This window comes from Homo sapiens, chromosome 10 (genome assembly GCF_000001405.40).
Source record: "Homo sapiens chromosome 10, GRCh38.p14 Primary Assembly".
Lineage (NCBI taxonomy): Eukaryota > Metazoa > Chordata > Mammalia > Primates > Hominidae > Homo > Homo sapiens.
This window is the reverse complement of record NC_000010.11, coordinates 45,420,343-45,436,333: the sequence shown is the minus strand read 5'-3', so window position 1 is coordinate 45,436,333 and position 15,991 is coordinate 45,420,343. Positions and strand designations below refer to the sequence as shown.

Below are 15,991 nucleotides of genomic sequence, written 5' to 3'. Positions count from 1 at the left end.
ATTTCCTAGGCAAAGAATTTATGACTAGACCTCAAAGGCATATGCAACAAAAACAAAAATTGACAAATGAGACTTAATCAAATTAAAGAGCTTCTGCACAGCAAAACAAACTATCAACAAAGTAAACAGACAACCTACAGAATGAGAGAAAATATTTGCAACTATGCATCCACAAACGACTAATACCCAGAATCTATGAGGAACTTAAGAAAAAACACCACCATTAAAAAGTGGGCAAAGGACAGGAACAGACACTTCTCAAAAGAAGACATACAAGTGGCCAACAAACATATGAAAAAATGCCCAACATCACTAATCATCAGAGAAATGCAAATTAAAACCACAAAGGGATACCAGTCAGAATGGCTATTATTAAAAAGTAAAAAAATGACAGATGTTGGCAGGATGCAGACAAAAGGGAATGCTTACACACTGTTGGTGGCAGTGTAAATTACTTCCATCCCTGTGGAAAGCAGTTTGGAGATTTTGCAAAGAACTGCAAATAGAATTACCAGTTGACCCAACAACCCCATTACTGTGTACCTACCCAAAGGAAAAGAAATTGTTTTACCAAAAGGACATAGGCACACATATGTTTATTGCAGCACTGTTCACAATATCAAAATCATGTAATCAACCTAGGTGCCCATCAATAGTGGCACCAGATAAAGAAAATGTGATACATGTACTCCAAGGAATACTACATAGCCATAAAAAAGAATGAAATCGTGTTCTTTGCAGCAACATGGATGCAGCTTAGGATTGGCACTTAAGCCATAATCTTAAGTGAATTAACCCAGAAACAGAAAATCGAATACTGCATGTTCTTATTTATAAGTGGGAGCTAAGCATTGTGTACACATGGGCATAAAAGTGGGAACAAAAGACACTGGGGACTCCAGGAAGGGGAGGGAGGGAGGAAAGGGTTGAAAAACTGGGTATTGGGTACTATGCTCAGTATTTGAGTGATGGGTTCAATAGAAGCCTAACCCCAGCATTATGCAATATAACCATGTAACAAACCTGCACATGTACCTGAATCTAAAATTTTATATATTAAAAAAAAAAAAACTGTTCTGACCAGTAAAAAAAGAGCTGAATGAGGATGGGCCCAGTGCTCTGCCTATTTCAGCCCATCACTCTCCCTTCTGCTTCTCTTCACCTCCCGGCCTGACCGGGCCTCACCTGCCCATCTCCTTGAGCTCTTGTACCACTGAGCTGGGCCTTCCCCAACCCATCCTTCACATCCTCCCACTCCTGTCCAGGATTTTGGCCTGCCATGGGATGCCAGAACTTGCCCTGAGCAATTTGTGTTTCTTAAATTTGTTTTTTGGGTAAGGAAGTAGCTTTGCGTTTCTGATTAGAAAAGAATATGTGCTTATCGTAAAAAGAAATCTGAGTCATGACAGGAGAGCCTGAGAAAGAAAACATCATCTCATCTTCCAGCGCCCAGGGATAACCACCAAATTCTGGGGAGCCTCCTTTCATAGGTCTTTGCATGTGTGCACATTTATCTGTCCAATTTTCCATCAACTGAATATGATTATAATCAACATCTGTCTCTTTGTTTTGCTCACCTGTCCCCCACTGGGCCATCACTGTGTTCCTACCTGGTGACACTGCGTCCTTGTGTCCCCATGCTGGCACAGTAGGCCTGCTGCATCCTTGCATTCATTTTACATAAGTGAGACCATGCCCATTGCCTTAGCAGTTTGAAGGAGCTATTTGTATACGACAGATATGTATCCTTTATCGGTCCCTTGTGTCTTGTTTTTCCACTGTTAACTCATTGTGGAGACCCCTCCAGGTCAGCTGGAAGGGAACCAAAGCATTCCTTTCAAAGACGCCTCAACATTTTATGGTGAGGACATGGAAGGGCTCACTCACTCAATCCTCTTCTGCCTTCAGACTGTTTTCAATTTTTTTCCCCATCACAAACTATGCTCCTGTTGCTACCCACACACATTTGTGCTTTCATTTCTGCTGAGTGGCTGCTAGCGAAGGCTGAGCCTTGGGGGTTTGGGTATGTTTTCGAGTAGACAGTGCCTGCCCTACTGTTCCTCAGACAGTTTCACTCTCCTGGTGCACACCTGTTCAGTGCTACTGGCTGTCAGAACACTTAAACAATAAAGTCCCCTCCAGTGCTCCTCCAATTGAGACGGGGCAGGGGCCTCCTCTTAGGGCACTGTAGCCCCCCAGCCCCGCAACAGGGCATGGAAATGAAGGAAAATCCCGAGTTCCTTGAAGGGAAGTTCCAGGCACCTAGCTAGCCCTGAGAAATAAATGAGCAACTTGACAAACAAGAGGGTAACAGCAGCCTAAAACAACAGCCAAGGAAGCCAGAGTCCTGGGCTGTTTGGTTCCCTCTGGAAACTAAAGAGAACCCCTGAACATGTGTCTCTGAGTTGTTTTTCAGAAACCCAGACCCCCACCAAACCGATCCACTGGCACAGAGACCTCAGATAAGACGGAACTGAGGACTGAACTCTGAGCAGGCTCTTTGTTCTAAATTTCTTCCTGGGGGGCCTGGGGGAAGTCCCGCCCACAAGCCACAGCTAACATTCCTTTCTGGTAACCCAAATTTTTAAATGAAACTTCTCTTCCTTAACCAATTTCAAAACAACAAATTTTTGAATCTACCTATGACCTGGAAGCCCACCCCCACTTCAAGATATCCCGCCCTTTTAGGCCAAAACCAATGTGTACCCTCCATGTATTGATTAATGATTTTGCCTGTTAACTTCTGCAATTCCTGAAATTCACTCTGCCTTTAAAAACCCTTACCTGCAAGCCATCAGGGAGTTCCGGTCTTAAGAGTGAGCTGCCCAATTCTCCTTTTTTGGTCCCCGCAATAAATGCCTTGTGTTCTCGTAGATTATATCCCAATCTCAGTGTTTGGTTTTGCTGCACTGGGCAAGCAGATCCCAGTCCAGCTCGGTAACACAACTGTCCTCGCCACGACAGCCTCAACCCCAGGACCCTCTGACCGCCCACTGCAACATGCACCTGGTACAGCAGGCGCTGTGGGATCTGCTCCGGTGCTGGCCGAAGCTCTGACCTTGCTCCGGTGCTGGCCGAAGCTCTGACCTTGGGCTGCCCAGGCCCACCAGTTATCCCGTGAACACTGCCAGGCTGCAACAACTCATGAGCAGAGCATGGGGCTCCGTCCTTGCTGGTGTCTGGGAGTTACCCCTTTGTTTTTCCAACCAGGCATGTCAGAAATGATATCTCATTGTTAACTTTCATTTGCATTTCTCTAACTACAGGTGAAGTTAGGAGTTTTTCCATATGCTGGTTGCCCATTTACATTTCTTCTTTTGTGAATTGCCTATTCATATTCTCTGCTCATTTTTCCACTGGAGTATTGGTATTTTCCCGTCAATGTAAAGGAGCTACCTGTGTATCATAGATAGGCATCTCTTAGCTGTCACTTCTGTTATGGTTACTCACCCTAATCTCTGTTTTGCTTTTTGGCTTTGTTTATGGTTTATCACTCAAGTTTTAAAACATTACATAATCAAATATGCTTAGCTTTCCCCTTATAACTTCTTGGTTTCCTTTTCCTTCTAAAAGTCTTCTGAGTGTCTGCGTAATTAGTTTTTCTAAATTCGTTTACTTTTTTCATTTTAATTTTTACTTCATCTGAATTTTTTCTTTTTCTTCTAAGCAACTCCTCTACATGATGAGATTTATTTTTGTAAATGGCATGACAGAGCAGTCCAATTTAATTTTCTTCTCATGCAAAGGCAGTGTGATAGCATCATTAAAATAATATCCCTTTTTCACTGAGTTGAAAAACCTCCATTGTGATACACTGAATTCCTCTGTGGGGGAGTCCATTTCTGGATCTTACTCTATACTGTCCCCCAATTCTCTCTGTTTTCAAGCACAGTGTCTGCTTAACAGTAACCTTACAAATCCAGCAAGGAAAGTGTTCCTTCTGTGTTTTCTTTTACTTTTTTTTTTTTTTTTTAAAGATAGGGTCTTACTCTGTTGCCCAGTGTGGAGTGCAGTGGAGCGACCATGGCTCACTGCAGCCTCAAACTCCTGGACTCAAGCCATCCTCCCACCTCAGCCTCCTGAGCAGTTGGGATTACAGGCATGCGCCACCATACCTAATTTTTTCTATTAATTTTTTTTTTTTTTAAGACATGAGGTCTCACTTGGTTGCCCTGCCTCTCTATGTGGTTTTAATTTTTTTCAAAAAATTTTTGACTATGCTAGATTTCTTTTTCCATATGAATCTTTCAATTTTTTAATTGTTTTCTCTCCTTTTTAGTTCCTCTTCACCACCACCACACCCCCACCAAGAAAGATAAAAAATTCTGGCTGAAATTTTACTTGGAAGTGCATTAAGTTTTTATAATAGAATTTGGTAGAACTGACATTTTTACAGTTTCCTCCCCAATATCAAATCACTGTTAAGAGTTCATTGTATATCCTTTAAAATAACTTTATAGTTGGCCGGGTGCGGTAGCTCACGCCTGTAATGCCAACACTTTGGGAGGCTGAGGCAGGCAAATCACAAGGTCAGGAGTTCGAGACCAGCCTGGCCAACATGGTGAAATGCCGTCTCTACTAAAAATACAAAAAATTAGCTGGGCGTGGTGGCAGGTGCCTGTAATCCCAGCTACTCGGGAGGCTGAGGCAGGAGAATTGCTTGAACCTGGGAGGTGGAGGTTGCAGTGAGCCGAGATCACGCCACTGCACTCTAGCCTGGGTGACAGTGCGAAACTCCATCTCAAATAAATAAATAAATAAATAAATAAATAAATAAATAAATAACTTTATAGTTTTTCCTTATATGGGCATTATATTTTATTGTTAGTATGGAGAAAGGCTATTGATTTTTTTGAGAAATATATTTATCTAAACACTTTGCCAAATGAATTTATTAATCTAGTAGCTTTTAAAAAAATTAGAATCTCTTGTGTTTTCTAGGTCTACCATAGCATTACCAGAAAAGATCATCTTCCCTGTTCTTTGACAATATGTTTATTGATTGTTTTCCTGTTTTATCATGTGGTATGACCTCTAAAATAATGTTGAATAAAAACAGTGATATCAGCATTCTTATTATTTTAATGGAAATGGCATTAGAGTTGCACCTTTTTGATGTTAGCTATCTTTATCATATAAAGTAAGGTTCCTCCTATTAATTTTTATTAGTTGTGGCTATTAAATGTTATTAAATTCCCTTTTAGTGTGAATTGATATAATCATAAACTTTATCCTTATGGGTATAATAAATTATGGTGGTAGCTCTCTTGATATTGAAATATCTGGAATAAACCCTGCTTGGTTATTACATATAGTCATTTAATACACTGCTGCACTCACTTCGCTAATATCACCTTTAGTTTTCTTTTAAATCTTTATTTAATACTTGGATTGGTCTTCAGCCTTCTTTTGAAGCCTGCCTGTATCCAGTTTCAGAACTAAGCTTACACCAGCTTTATATGATCAATTTGGGGCTGATAAAGAGCCCTGGAAATGTCAGCTGTCTAGTGGCTGGGTGAGACTCAGCTGCTCGCTGTGTAGGTCTGTTTCCAATCACTATATGGAAATTGGCCTATTTTCTACAATTTCTTCTAATTTATCTTTTCCTAGGTTTTTATCCATTTCTCTAATTTTTCAAATTTTTGCCATATTACTCTCATTTAAAAAATATGTAATCATAATTACTGTTCTTTTTTTTTTTTAAGAGACGGGGTCTTGATATGTTGCTCAGGCTAGACTGCTGTGGCTATTCACAGGTGTGATCATAGCACACTACAGCCTCAAGTGAGCCTCCTGCCTCAGCCTCTCAAGTAGCTGGGACTACAGTTGTGTACCACCATGGTGCCTGGCTATAATTACTCTTTTTATGATTCCTTTTTTATTCCGAATCTTGCATTTTTTTTTTCTATCTCTTTTTTTCCATCAGCCTCATGAGGAGGTTATTATTATTATTTTTTGGACCTTTCAAAGAACCAGATCTTGGATTTACTATCCTCTGGCTTTCATTTGCTTGAGTCTTTATAGTTTGCAAAGTTTCCATTTTCAGAAGAAGAAAGAGACCCAGGAACATTCTGTGGCTTGCTCAAGGTCCCACAGCCTGCTAGCAAGTGGCTGAACTGGAATTTAAGCTAGGCCCCTGACTCCAGGCTGCTCCAAGAGATCTCTGAGCCAAGCTTTTGAAGGCACCATCAGTGGTGCCTGGGATCTCCGGGGATCTCCCAGCAATTTTGTCTTCTTTTAGGTCACCTGTCCCTTTACCTGCTGCTTCAGTTTCTTAGGCACAGGGCTTCTCTCTGGTAACAGACAGGAAGCTCCTCTGAGGCTACGTGCCCCTGGGAGACTGTGGGGAGGCTGGAATCTAGAGTCAGATGACCTGGCTTGAATCCTAGCTCTGTGGCTGGCTGTGGGCACCTGTGTCTCAGTTTTCTTATCTGGGTAAAATGATCAACATCAATAGAGCCCACTACCTAGGATGGTTGTGGTGATGATTACACAAATAAAGATAGGTTATCTAAAACCCCAGTGGTCAAATGTGCTTCAGAATCCAGAATTTTTAGGATTTTAGCAGTGGGTATACTTCATTATGTGCCATACCCCCTCCCACCCCCAGTCTAGGGCAACATACTATTTTACAATCGAACAGAGCAGTATTTCTGCAGTGATCCACATACATATCACATTGAATGGAAAAAGCCTCTAAATAACCTCACCTATTGCTTCAAAGAAGGTTTGTTTACAAACAATGAATTTGCTGCACAGTTTTGAAATATGCAGCAGTTTTCAGATTTTTTAGATTTAGAATCGAGGGTAAGGGATTGCGGACTGTGCAGGTTAACCCATAGGATAGCCTTGGCATGTGGCTGGTGCCTGACCTATCCAGCTGCTATTGTGTCCACAGCTCCCAAGGTCCAGTTCATGGACATTATTTGCTGAATGCTCATCTGCCAGTCTCCCACGGTGTCCTCTGCGCAGTTCCTCCCTACTCCCAGGGACCTATGCCCAGTCCAGTCCTGGCCTTGGCCCCTGCTGTCTGCACACCAGCTCCCAGCCTGGCAGCAGGCTGGTGCCAGGAACAGGGGGAGACAAAGCCCTGTGCCCGCCTGCCTTTCCTCCAGGGTCTCCCTCTTCCTCCTGCCTCATCTCCGGTGGACATAAGAACTCACATCATCATCAAAGGTGGCATACCAGGACTGGCCTGGTTCCTGACCCCAGAACCCATGGTGCCCCTCAGTGGTCTTGGTCTCCAGCTTAGTCCACAGCTTCACCTGCCTGGCCCCTGGCAGCACCTTGACTGGGGGCCCTTGGTCAGGGTGCTGGGGTGGAGAGTGCAGAATATGATCCCAGGGCAGGTCCTCCACAGTGTGCCTCGACTGGCCAGGGGCTTCTCAAGTGTGCCTTGGGGAGTAGAACCCTCTCCGCCCCTATGGACAGCCCACCTCAGGGCCTGCAGGAAGCCCTAGTGTCTTTCAAGACATAGCTTCCTCAGCTGGAGTGTGAATGGAGCCACCCAGGAGCCCTGGATCGCAGAGGACTGAGCTGCTCAGAAAGGTGTGCCCCCCAGCAGCCTACCTGGATGGCAATGGGGACAATCTTGTTGGCCAGGTTCTTATACAGCAAGCAGATGGGAGCGGCCAGGAACTGGAGTGTGCAGGGGTCTGTTTTGTTGGCATCGATGCCATCCAGCAGCTCAAAGTCCACGATGAAAATGTTCCCTTGCTGCAGGAGGCAGAGAGATGTGTCCAAATCAGGCTCAGCAGACGGACCAAAAATCAGGCCTGGGGAAAGAGTGATGACCTCTGGGCACCCCTCTCCCTTTCCTGCGACTCAGCGGAGCTCAGAATGTGTACTTCTCTCCTCTGACTCCAAGGCTGATTGATTCACATGGAAGGTGTTCACAGGTTGTGGCAGTTCGGGGTAAGATGAAGGAATGGCAGCAGCTCATTCGGCATTTGTGGTGTCTGAAACCTGCTTGACTGGCACGAAAGATGAGAGACCGACCCGAGTGTCAGTTTACTAAGAAGAAAGAGGTTAGGTGAAATAGATGTGACGAGTTAAATGCCAAAAAATGATGCTGCCGGACTCTACACATAAGTCAAAACTGGCGAACTCAACCCCAGTCAGAGCCAGGACAGGGGTCTCCCTTGGGAGGAAGAGACAGGAAGCGAGGCGGGGCTGTCCGCCGGGTGGGGTAGGGGGGCTGCGGGGGAAGGGGGAGGGGATTCTGCACGGGCAGGGGACTCTACAGGGGTTGAGGGGGGTCTCCAGGAGGTAGGGAAGGTCTGCGGGGGCGGGAATGAGCGTGTTTCGGGAGAGGTGCTGCAGAAGCAGAGGGGGAAGGGTCTGCAGTGGCTGGGGAGGTGGGGGTGGTCTGCAGGGTTGGCGTGTTGTGCCCTGGTCTGAGACTGGCGACACGGCGGGTCATTGGTGTAAATTCGTCGGGCTTGCTGACCCGCGGATCCGTGCCCTTTGCTGTAGGAGTCAACACACCTCGACACGCAACGAGCGTGCCGGTGAAGTGGGAGGCGGGCGGCCGCTGCGAGCCGCGCAGTGGGTCCCGCAGAGGGGCCCCTAGGAACGCCAGGTGCAGGGTAGGCCTGCTGGGCCGGGAACGCAGCGCTTAGGCCGGGGGCATGGCCGCTCCTTCTGAAGCCTTTTCTGTTTCCTGAGTGATGAAGGAAAGGGTGAGGGTCCCGGCTGCGGAGGGGTCAGTATCTACTCTGCCTGGAGACATCCCAGAGCGCCCCCCTGCAGCTCCACCGACCGCGCCCGCGCGCAGGACCCCCGGGCTGCCCGGCGGCACGCAGGACAGAAGCCACCCACCCAGGACGGCAGGAGCTCGGAGCCTGGCCACCGCCCTCCTCCTTTATGTGGTGTGACACCAGGGATGAGCTCTGAGCATCTGTCGCGATGGGCGGGGGAAGCAGGGGTGGGGACGGGGACTATCCCCGCGGAGGCACTCAGGGCACCTTGTGTTGAGGGGGGCAGGTGGAGACCCTTGGGTTGGTCGGGCACAGTGATGTCTTGCCTTCTAGGACTATGGCTGGATAGCTGGACTTTGAGAGCTGAAGTGACCATCAGACTCTACCCAGAAGGAATGGCTGCTAATCCAATCTTGAGACCACCCAGGCTGGTGAAGGTGATACTGGGAATAGGAGGCCTGAGATTTGGGGCCAATGCCTGCAGCATTTCTCTGTTATCCCAAGCCTCCCTTTCATATTTCTGGAAAACGAGGGGCGGGCCTACCTTTCAGTTCTGACATTTTAGGATTCTGCTTCTGACAGTGGAGTTTTTGCCTGTCTAGAGTCCCTGTCCCCTCTAGGTCAGTGTATTCCATTCTCCTGGCCGTGGGCACTGGCTCACAGAATCAGTGAGGCCCGAGGATGGCCTAAGACATCTGCTGGGAGCATTGGGAAACAGGGTCTTTCTTGCTGGGAGTGGGTGGTGTTTGCTAAGCTGGTGGAAGGTAAATCTGAAGCTGCCGGTGATCATTTTTTACCTCCACATAAGGAAACCCTCCTAAGGAAAAAATCACCAGAGGCAGAGGATTGAGACATGGAGCGAGAGAGAGACAGTGCAGGGGATGATCTGAGCCCTGGTCCCAAATGAGTTAGCATTGCTTTTTACTGTTGCCTGAGCCAATAGAGTTCTTGGATTAAACCAGATGGAGTTGATTTTTGTGATTTGAAACCAAAGAATCCAAATATAAAGTCTAAGAACTCAAACTTGAGCTGGAACACTGAATCAATACCAACAACAGGGATACAATTTCTCTATTCATGATCCGGAAAATAACTGCACATTTTAAAAAACAATGGAGGCGTTTTTAGTAGGCCACAAGCTTGCTGTAGATCATTAAGGTGCTGCCAGATGGGCAGCGTGAATGACTGTGGGGATTAAGAATCATGCTGGTGTGTATTAGACGGGGCAGTGTGTGTTTAAGAGTCTAGTCAGTGAGGGGTGGGTCAGCTCAAAGGAAAGGTGACTCATAACCCACGTGCCCTGGAGGTGGCCGGGACTCCCAGTGGGAGGCTGATGCCCTGCCAGGTGCTGAGGATGGCCACTCCTTGGCTGCTGGGTGCAGAGATGGCTGCTCAGAGTCTTCCAATTCTAGGATTCTATATGGCTTAAAGTTCTATGATCTCTGACTTGAAGTTTGAAACCTATAGCCACCAAATCAATGTTACTACATCTAGCAATTCAGTCCACTCAGGAACACAGATGCTCTCTCAGTGTGTGGGGGATTGTAACTGTCAGCTGTTCACATGACCAGGAAGTGTTCTGGGCCTGGTTGGGTGCAGGAGGAGGAGGAGGTTAGGAAACACTGCCTGCACTGGGGCAGGAGACTTGCCCAGGGACTTCAGCTGGGTGGGTGGCCCTCTAGATTCAGGTGGGCCAGGTACTGGGGCTGTAGGTTTATCTCTAAAGGGCACCAACCATCCCTCTCCAACTAGGGCCTCAGGGTAAGCTGAGCTCAAAAGACTGGAAGCAGCAGAGGCCACCTGGACACCTGGGGATAGGCAGCAGGGCCTGGGTGGCAGGAGGCCCCATCACGCTGGATCCATGGGGAAGAGGCAGGCTGATGGGCCAGCGCCTGTTGCTGAGCCCCACCAGATCCAGGTGGAGTTGGTTTGAACTTCTTCTGTCTCAAGACTAGGTCAGCCTTGCAGCCGGAGGCAGCTGAGTCTGCAGGTGAGGGTGGGGAGGAGGGTGCGACAGGAGCATGGGCAGCAGCATTTCTAACGAGAAAATCAACCATTCTGTTGGGTTTCTCCTCGTGCCCCTTTTTTATTCTCACACAAGGTCTGCTTCTTTCTCCAGTGTTCTCCCCTTTGCAAGGTGGGTGACAACTGATGACCTTGTGTGTAAAGCACCTGTCACAATGCCTGTCCCACCACAGGCCCCTAATCAAGGGTAGCTCCTGTAATTATTGATACTGATAGTGAAAATATTGACATTATGTTCCCAGACTCGAGCATCATGGAGAAACATTCCCCGCAATTCCTCCTCTGATGTTGCACAAGACAGTCTGCATAATGCCCAGGACCCTGGCTGACACTGCTGCCAGGAAAAGGAAGCGGCTGCTGTAGGCCAGATGGGCCTGCAGTTAGCGTCTTGGTGGCCTATGAGCACTGGCCAGGAGGAACTGGCTTCCACCTGACAGACTGTGACCTTGGCCACTTCCCCAGCCCATCAACCCCTACCTGGACCTCCTGCTCCAAGCTGAGCTGCCGCTCCAGGCTGCACTCTACCATCTCCGTGGTCACCGGGAGCTTCTCGGGCAGCTCTGTGCAGCGCCGGATCAACACAGGGTTGCAGCCATTCAGGAACTGGTAGCCAAACATCAGGTCTTCCTGCCAGTGATTCATGACCCGCTCTACCAGGAGAAAAGCGAGGCCCACCCTGAGCTCTGAGTAGAGGGCAGCCAGGGCCATGGCCCTCCTGACCTCACCTAAGAGCAGAGTCCCTGCTTGGTCTCCTCTCCCGAGTGCTCCCTGGATGGGCACAGCTCCAACTGCTGCCCCCTGCCCATCACTGGGTCAGGCTGTGGCACCAACTCATCATACCTGAGCTGGCCCTTCGTGGCTCAGAAGCCTCCTGGAGCACTCAGGTCCTTCAGCCCAGCATGGAGTGTCCAGGATGGAAGAAGGAGGGCGTGGAGGAGAGTCCCTGGGGGCAGTTTGCCAAGTTTGGTTCCCCATGTCCTGATTTCAGCACCTCTTCTTGTCCAGCCATTCCTGCCTTCCTAACGTCCTTCCCATGCCATGACTGGCCACTATGAAGCTAGTGCTCTCATCAAACACATCCTAGTCCAAAGGAACCCAAAGTTGCTTTTGTGTAAATACCTAAAACACAAGCCAAGTTCTGCCTTTGCTCTGTTCAGAAGCACAAATGATTGATTTGTGCCAAGAAAAAGTTCTGATACTTTTGAGACTTTTGATAGTGAAATGAGGTTGAGGGTGCTCGAGCTTGAATATCTGAGGAGGAGAAACCTCTGGGCACAAGGGTGACCACAGTGATGGTAAAAGGTGTGGAGTGTAGGGGGTGCTGTCCAGGGTGGCATGGTGGCAGCGAGGCCCCCATGCTGCAGCAGGCAGGAAGGCCCTTGTCAATTTCCCGGCAAGTATCAGACAGGAGAGCAGCATCCCCTGTCCCCAGCACCACTTGGGCCCCCAGAGGCACACTCACCAGAAATAGTGTTGCTGATCTTGACAAAGATTTTCTCAAAGTCGGCGAAGTCATTCCAAGAAGACTGGAACATGTGCATGAAGCGGTTGATGAACAGGTTCTCCATCCTGCAGACCAGGAGAGAGGTCACCTTGCGCACACTAGCCATGCCTCCCTCTGCAGAGCCCCTTCACACCAAGCTCTCAGGGGTCCTCACAACCCCCGCCCCCTCCAGGCAGCTCTGCAGAGGTAGGTGACTGGCTTTTCAGAACCAGGTCAGAAACTGGCATCTATACGGGATGCTGTTCTACTGCACCTCACCTGTCGAAGAGACAGGCCAGTACCCTCCAGAATAGCCTGCAGTGCCTTGAATTCCATTCACACATGTGTTCATTCATTCACTCATCGGGCACTTGCAGTCCCCCACTCGGTGGGCCAGTCCCTGAGAAAGCTTCTACGAACAGAGATCCAGCTGCTCTACCGTGTTGCCTGGCTTTTGGGGCGATGAACAGTTCAATTGACTTGAAAACTCATGTATTTTCTGCTAAATGGCTCCGTGTTTGGTGCTGAGGAGAAGTTTCCAAATGCTCACTGCACAGGACAAGAAAATAGAAACCCAAGGCCAGAGCTTGCTAAATTCAGAATGCAGGCTGCAGGTACTAAGGAGTGAGATGTGAGTGTATGAGCAATCCCCAGGGCTTCCTGGAGGAGGCAGGGTGTGGGATGGGTCCAGGAAAGGTGGAAAAGAGGGGAGAGACTTCCCAGGCTTCCTCCATAACCCTGCAGAGTGCAGGACAGGAGCGTGGGAGTGCTGCCCAGTGTTCACCATGACACACTGTGCCTCAGTTTCTCTCTCTGGCACACAAAAGACTGAGATTAACAAGATAGCCTGTTGCCTCTCCACCGTCAGTGCTCAATCACTGCCCACTCTTCAGCCTTGACTCTGGTTGCCCCTCAGAGCTCAGGCCTTTGCCTTGGGCCTTTGCACATCTGTTTCCTTCAGGCTGGAATGCTCTGTGCCCCTTTCTTTTCTGCTGTGGACTAAATTGTGCTCCCCAAATTCATGTGTTGAAGCCCTGACCCCCAGTGTGATGGCATTAGGAGATGGGGCCTTTGGGAGGTGATTAGGGTTAGACGAGGTCACGAGGGTGGGGTACCCGTGATGGGATTAGCATCCTCGTAAGAAGAGGAAGGCACCGAGGGCTTATTCATGCCCTGTCCCCCTCTCTCTGCCACGTGACCATGCTGTGGGAACACAGAGACATCTGCAAGCTGGGAAGAGGGCCCTCACCAGCAAGTGGATTGGCTGGCACCCTAATCTTGGACTTCTAGCCTCCGGACCTGTGAGAGACAAATATCTGCCGTTTAAGCCATCTGGTCTGTGGTATTTTGATGTGGCTGTCCCAATAGACTATGCCATTCTCTTACTGCGCACATGGGGTGTATCTGGAGGGCTCACTGGAGTGATGCTGTCTCTGTTCATTTCCTCTGTAGCTCTTACTGCAGCTTAAGTGCAAACTCACGTGTATGAATCTATGCCTGCTGCCCTATGCATGCTGAGGGCACAGTCATGCCTGCACTTTACTCAGCATTGAGCCCAGGCCTTCTAGTGTCCAGAGGGGCTCATGCAGCATCGCCTCATGGACTAAGAGGTGACCTCACCTGGTGCAGGGGACTGTGCCCGGGGCACTCCTCCAGTGGCTCCCCTTCCTGCCCACCCCTGAGGAGGCAGCCCTAGGTGGCCAGGACCCAGTGCTCTGCCTGGACCCACTTCTCAGGTGGAGCATGGCTGGGTCTGAGCTGTAGACACACACCTTGTCATGGGGAAAGCTGGGGAGTCAGGGACCTCCCCACATCCTCCTGATCCAGCAGAATGAGAGGATGGAGGCTGGGGAGAGCCTGGCTGATGGGACACAGGGCTTGGTGACATCCCAGCTCTGTTGTCTCAGGGGAATCACCCTGTGAACATGCATGAAGGCAGCAAACTGGAGCAACCACAGGGGGGAACTCCTAGGATAAGCAAGAGACACTGGGGGTCTCTCCTGCCTGCCCTGCCAGGTCTAGGGGTGCATCCAGGCAGAACAGCAATCCCCTTCCATCCTTTCTTAGCTTAGCAAATGCTTCTCTCCTTTGTCCTGGCTACCCTGGGTCTCCTAGGAGGCCATGATGCTCAGGAGAGGGTCCTGGGGCCACAAGGCTAGAGGCCTTTGTGAGTACTGTCTTTTTCTCCTCATGTGTCAGGATGAACAAGGAGCCTGCAGGTGACCGAGAGGGTGTACTGCTGGAAGTTGCCATGGCACAGCCTGGGCAGTGTGGCTGGCTTTGTGATGGGCTGCATACAGTAGGTGCTCAGTGCTACAGCACCCTGGAGCTGTCGAATAATACCAGCATCATCTTCCAGTCCTTCTGGTACCTTCTTCACTTGGATCCAGCCCCTTGTGGGGAAGGAGGGGCTTTTACACAGGTGCTTGCTTCCAGGGAGGCTGCTGTGGTCTCACCATGGCTACGACCAGCAGCCAGGCACTGGAATACCCAGAGAAGCTTCTTTCAGCCTTGCTGCCTCCTTCCTCCCCCAGCACCCCTCGTCAGCTGAGTGTTCTGGGCTAGGAATGCTTGTCAAGCTGGAGGGGTAAACCTCACTGTAGCATCTGGTGTCAGTCTGGGTGGGGAAAAGAACTTATTTCTGGGAGATGAGAGGCCTACGCAGGCCCCGAGAGCCCTGTAGGGCCTGAAGATGGCCCAGTGCCAGAGGGTGCCCCAGAAAGAGGTCCTGTGCTGGGGCACCTGAGGTCCCGGGTGGTCCCTTGCCCCTGTTCTTTGGAGGAACCAGGAGTGAGTCACCAATTACCCAGCTGGGTCTGTTTGACCTCAAAACAGGAGGTTTACTCTGAAAACAGGGTGGGTCTGGTAGTTCTCAGAAGAAGCCACAGATGTAGGAAGAAGTGGAGTTAGGAGGAACATATTTACATGTCATCTAGAGGCAAAATATTTCTATATCCTTACAGATAACTGGAATATTCAGGGCTTCGAAGACCCGCTTTTGTAAAAAGAAGGACCCTGCAAGCCAGAGAGGGCACCAGGCTTTTTCAAGGCCACACAGGCAGGTAACAGCCACCTTGATCACCTGGCCTAGGGGCAGTGACCTAGCTTTCTCCTGCATCTTCAGCTTTCTCCTGTGCCAAACTGTGGCCCAGGCTGGGCACCAGCTGTTGGCCATGTGCCCGGTGAGCCCCCCACCCCTCGCCCCTACTTCTCCCAGGACGGGCCGCATTTCTGCACTGTCCCGCCTCACTGGGAAGGAAACTCTCTTTCTCAATTTGCTTTAATGAGGCCATTGAGGTTCACCTAACCTCTGTCTCCCTGCTCTTTCCTTCTGCTACCAGCTTTTCCATTTTTTACGCCACAGTTGTGCTGTGCAGGGCAGGAGCAAAGCCTGCTGAGGAGGGCTGGCCCCCTTCCAGGTACAGCAGGTGGCTAGGAGGAACTGCGTGCCAGAATTACTCAGAAGCAGCGGCGAGGAAACCAAGCTGTCGCCAGCCAGAGGTTTAACGGGGAAGGCCTCCTCGGTGACTTCAGCCAAGTTTCAGTTTCCTGCCAGTGGGCACTGAGTTTAACCCACTCTAGGCGGGGAGTGTAGCCATCCAGATTTTAGCAAGGGCCCCAGGGGATTCTGACGCAAGCTATACTTTGAGAACCACTGCTGAAGAGTTTGCAATGTTTTCCAAATTAATTTGACTACAGAACAAATCATTTTTTTGAGGGAAACATGACTTCATGCTTTGTATTAACTCTTGGTCTTATTTTATGATGCATTTTTAACAACATG

The 15,991-nt window shown here is 49.2% G+C and overlaps 1 protein-coding gene across 8 annotated transcripts in view, besides 5 other annotated features; it reads right to left on the bottom strand.

The window, feature by feature from the left end:
* ALOX5 (arachidonate 5-lipoxygenase) overlaps positions 1 to 15,991 on the bottom strand; it is a 71,902-nt gene that overhangs the window by 9,784 nt on the left and 46,127 nt on the right. For all 8 annotated transcript variants that reach the window (NM_001320862.2, NM_000698.5, NM_001256154.3 and 5 more), the window contains 3 exons: positions 12,187 to 12,293; positions 11,202 to 11,374; positions 7,570 to 7,716 (listed from right to left, as the gene is read on the bottom strand). In NM_001320862.2, the coding sequence (NP_001307791.1) occupies positions 7,570 to 7,716; positions 11,202 to 11,374; positions 12,187 to 12,293 (427 nt within the window). The remainder of the gene's footprint in view (positions 1 to 7,569; positions 7,717 to 11,201; positions 11,375 to 12,186; positions 12,294 to 15,991) is intronic.
* Positions 2,490 to 3,028: an enhancer, noted in NCBI's record as "H3K27ac-H3K4me1 hESC enhancer chr10:45928754-45929292 (GRCh37/hg19 assembly coordinates)". NCBI's record gives its function as "activates a minimal SCP1, AML or CMV promoter by ChIP-STARR-seq in primed H9 embryonic stem cells {active_cell/tissue: H9 hESC(primed)}" and the evidence as "EXISTENCE:reporter gene assay evidence [ECO:0000049][PMID:30033119]".
* Positions 3,029 to 3,568: an enhancer, noted in NCBI's record as "H3K27ac-H3K4me1 hESC enhancer chr10:45928214-45928753 (GRCh37/hg19 assembly coordinates)". NCBI's record gives its function as "activates a minimal SCP1, AML or CMV promoter by ChIP-STARR-seq in primed H9 embryonic stem cells {active_cell/tissue: H9 hESC(primed)}" and the evidence as "EXISTENCE:reporter gene assay evidence [ECO:0000049][PMID:30033119]".
* Positions 7,984 to 8,647: an enhancer, noted in NCBI's record as "H3K27ac-H3K4me1 hESC enhancer chr10:45923135-45923798 (GRCh37/hg19 assembly coordinates)". NCBI's record gives its function as "activates a minimal SCP1, AML or CMV promoter by ChIP-STARR-seq in naive H9 embryonic stem cells {active_cell/tissue: H9 hESC(naive)}" and the evidence as "EXISTENCE:reporter gene assay evidence [ECO:0000049][PMID:30033119]".
* Positions 9,967 to 10,467: an enhancer, noted in NCBI's record as "H3K4me1 hESC enhancer chr10:45921315-45921815 (GRCh37/hg19 assembly coordinates)". NCBI's record gives its function as "activates a minimal SCP1, AML or CMV promoter by ChIP-STARR-seq in naive H9 embryonic stem cells {active_cell/tissue: H9 hESC(naive)}" and the evidence as "EXISTENCE:reporter gene assay evidence [ECO:0000049][PMID:30033119]".
* Positions 15,480 to 15,981: an enhancer, noted in NCBI's record as "H3K4me1 hESC enhancer chr10:45915801-45916302 (GRCh37/hg19 assembly coordinates)". NCBI's record gives its function as "activates a minimal SCP1, AML or CMV promoter by ChIP-STARR-seq in naive H9 embryonic stem cells {active_cell/tissue: H9 hESC(naive)}" and the evidence as "EXISTENCE:reporter gene assay evidence [ECO:0000049][PMID:30033119]".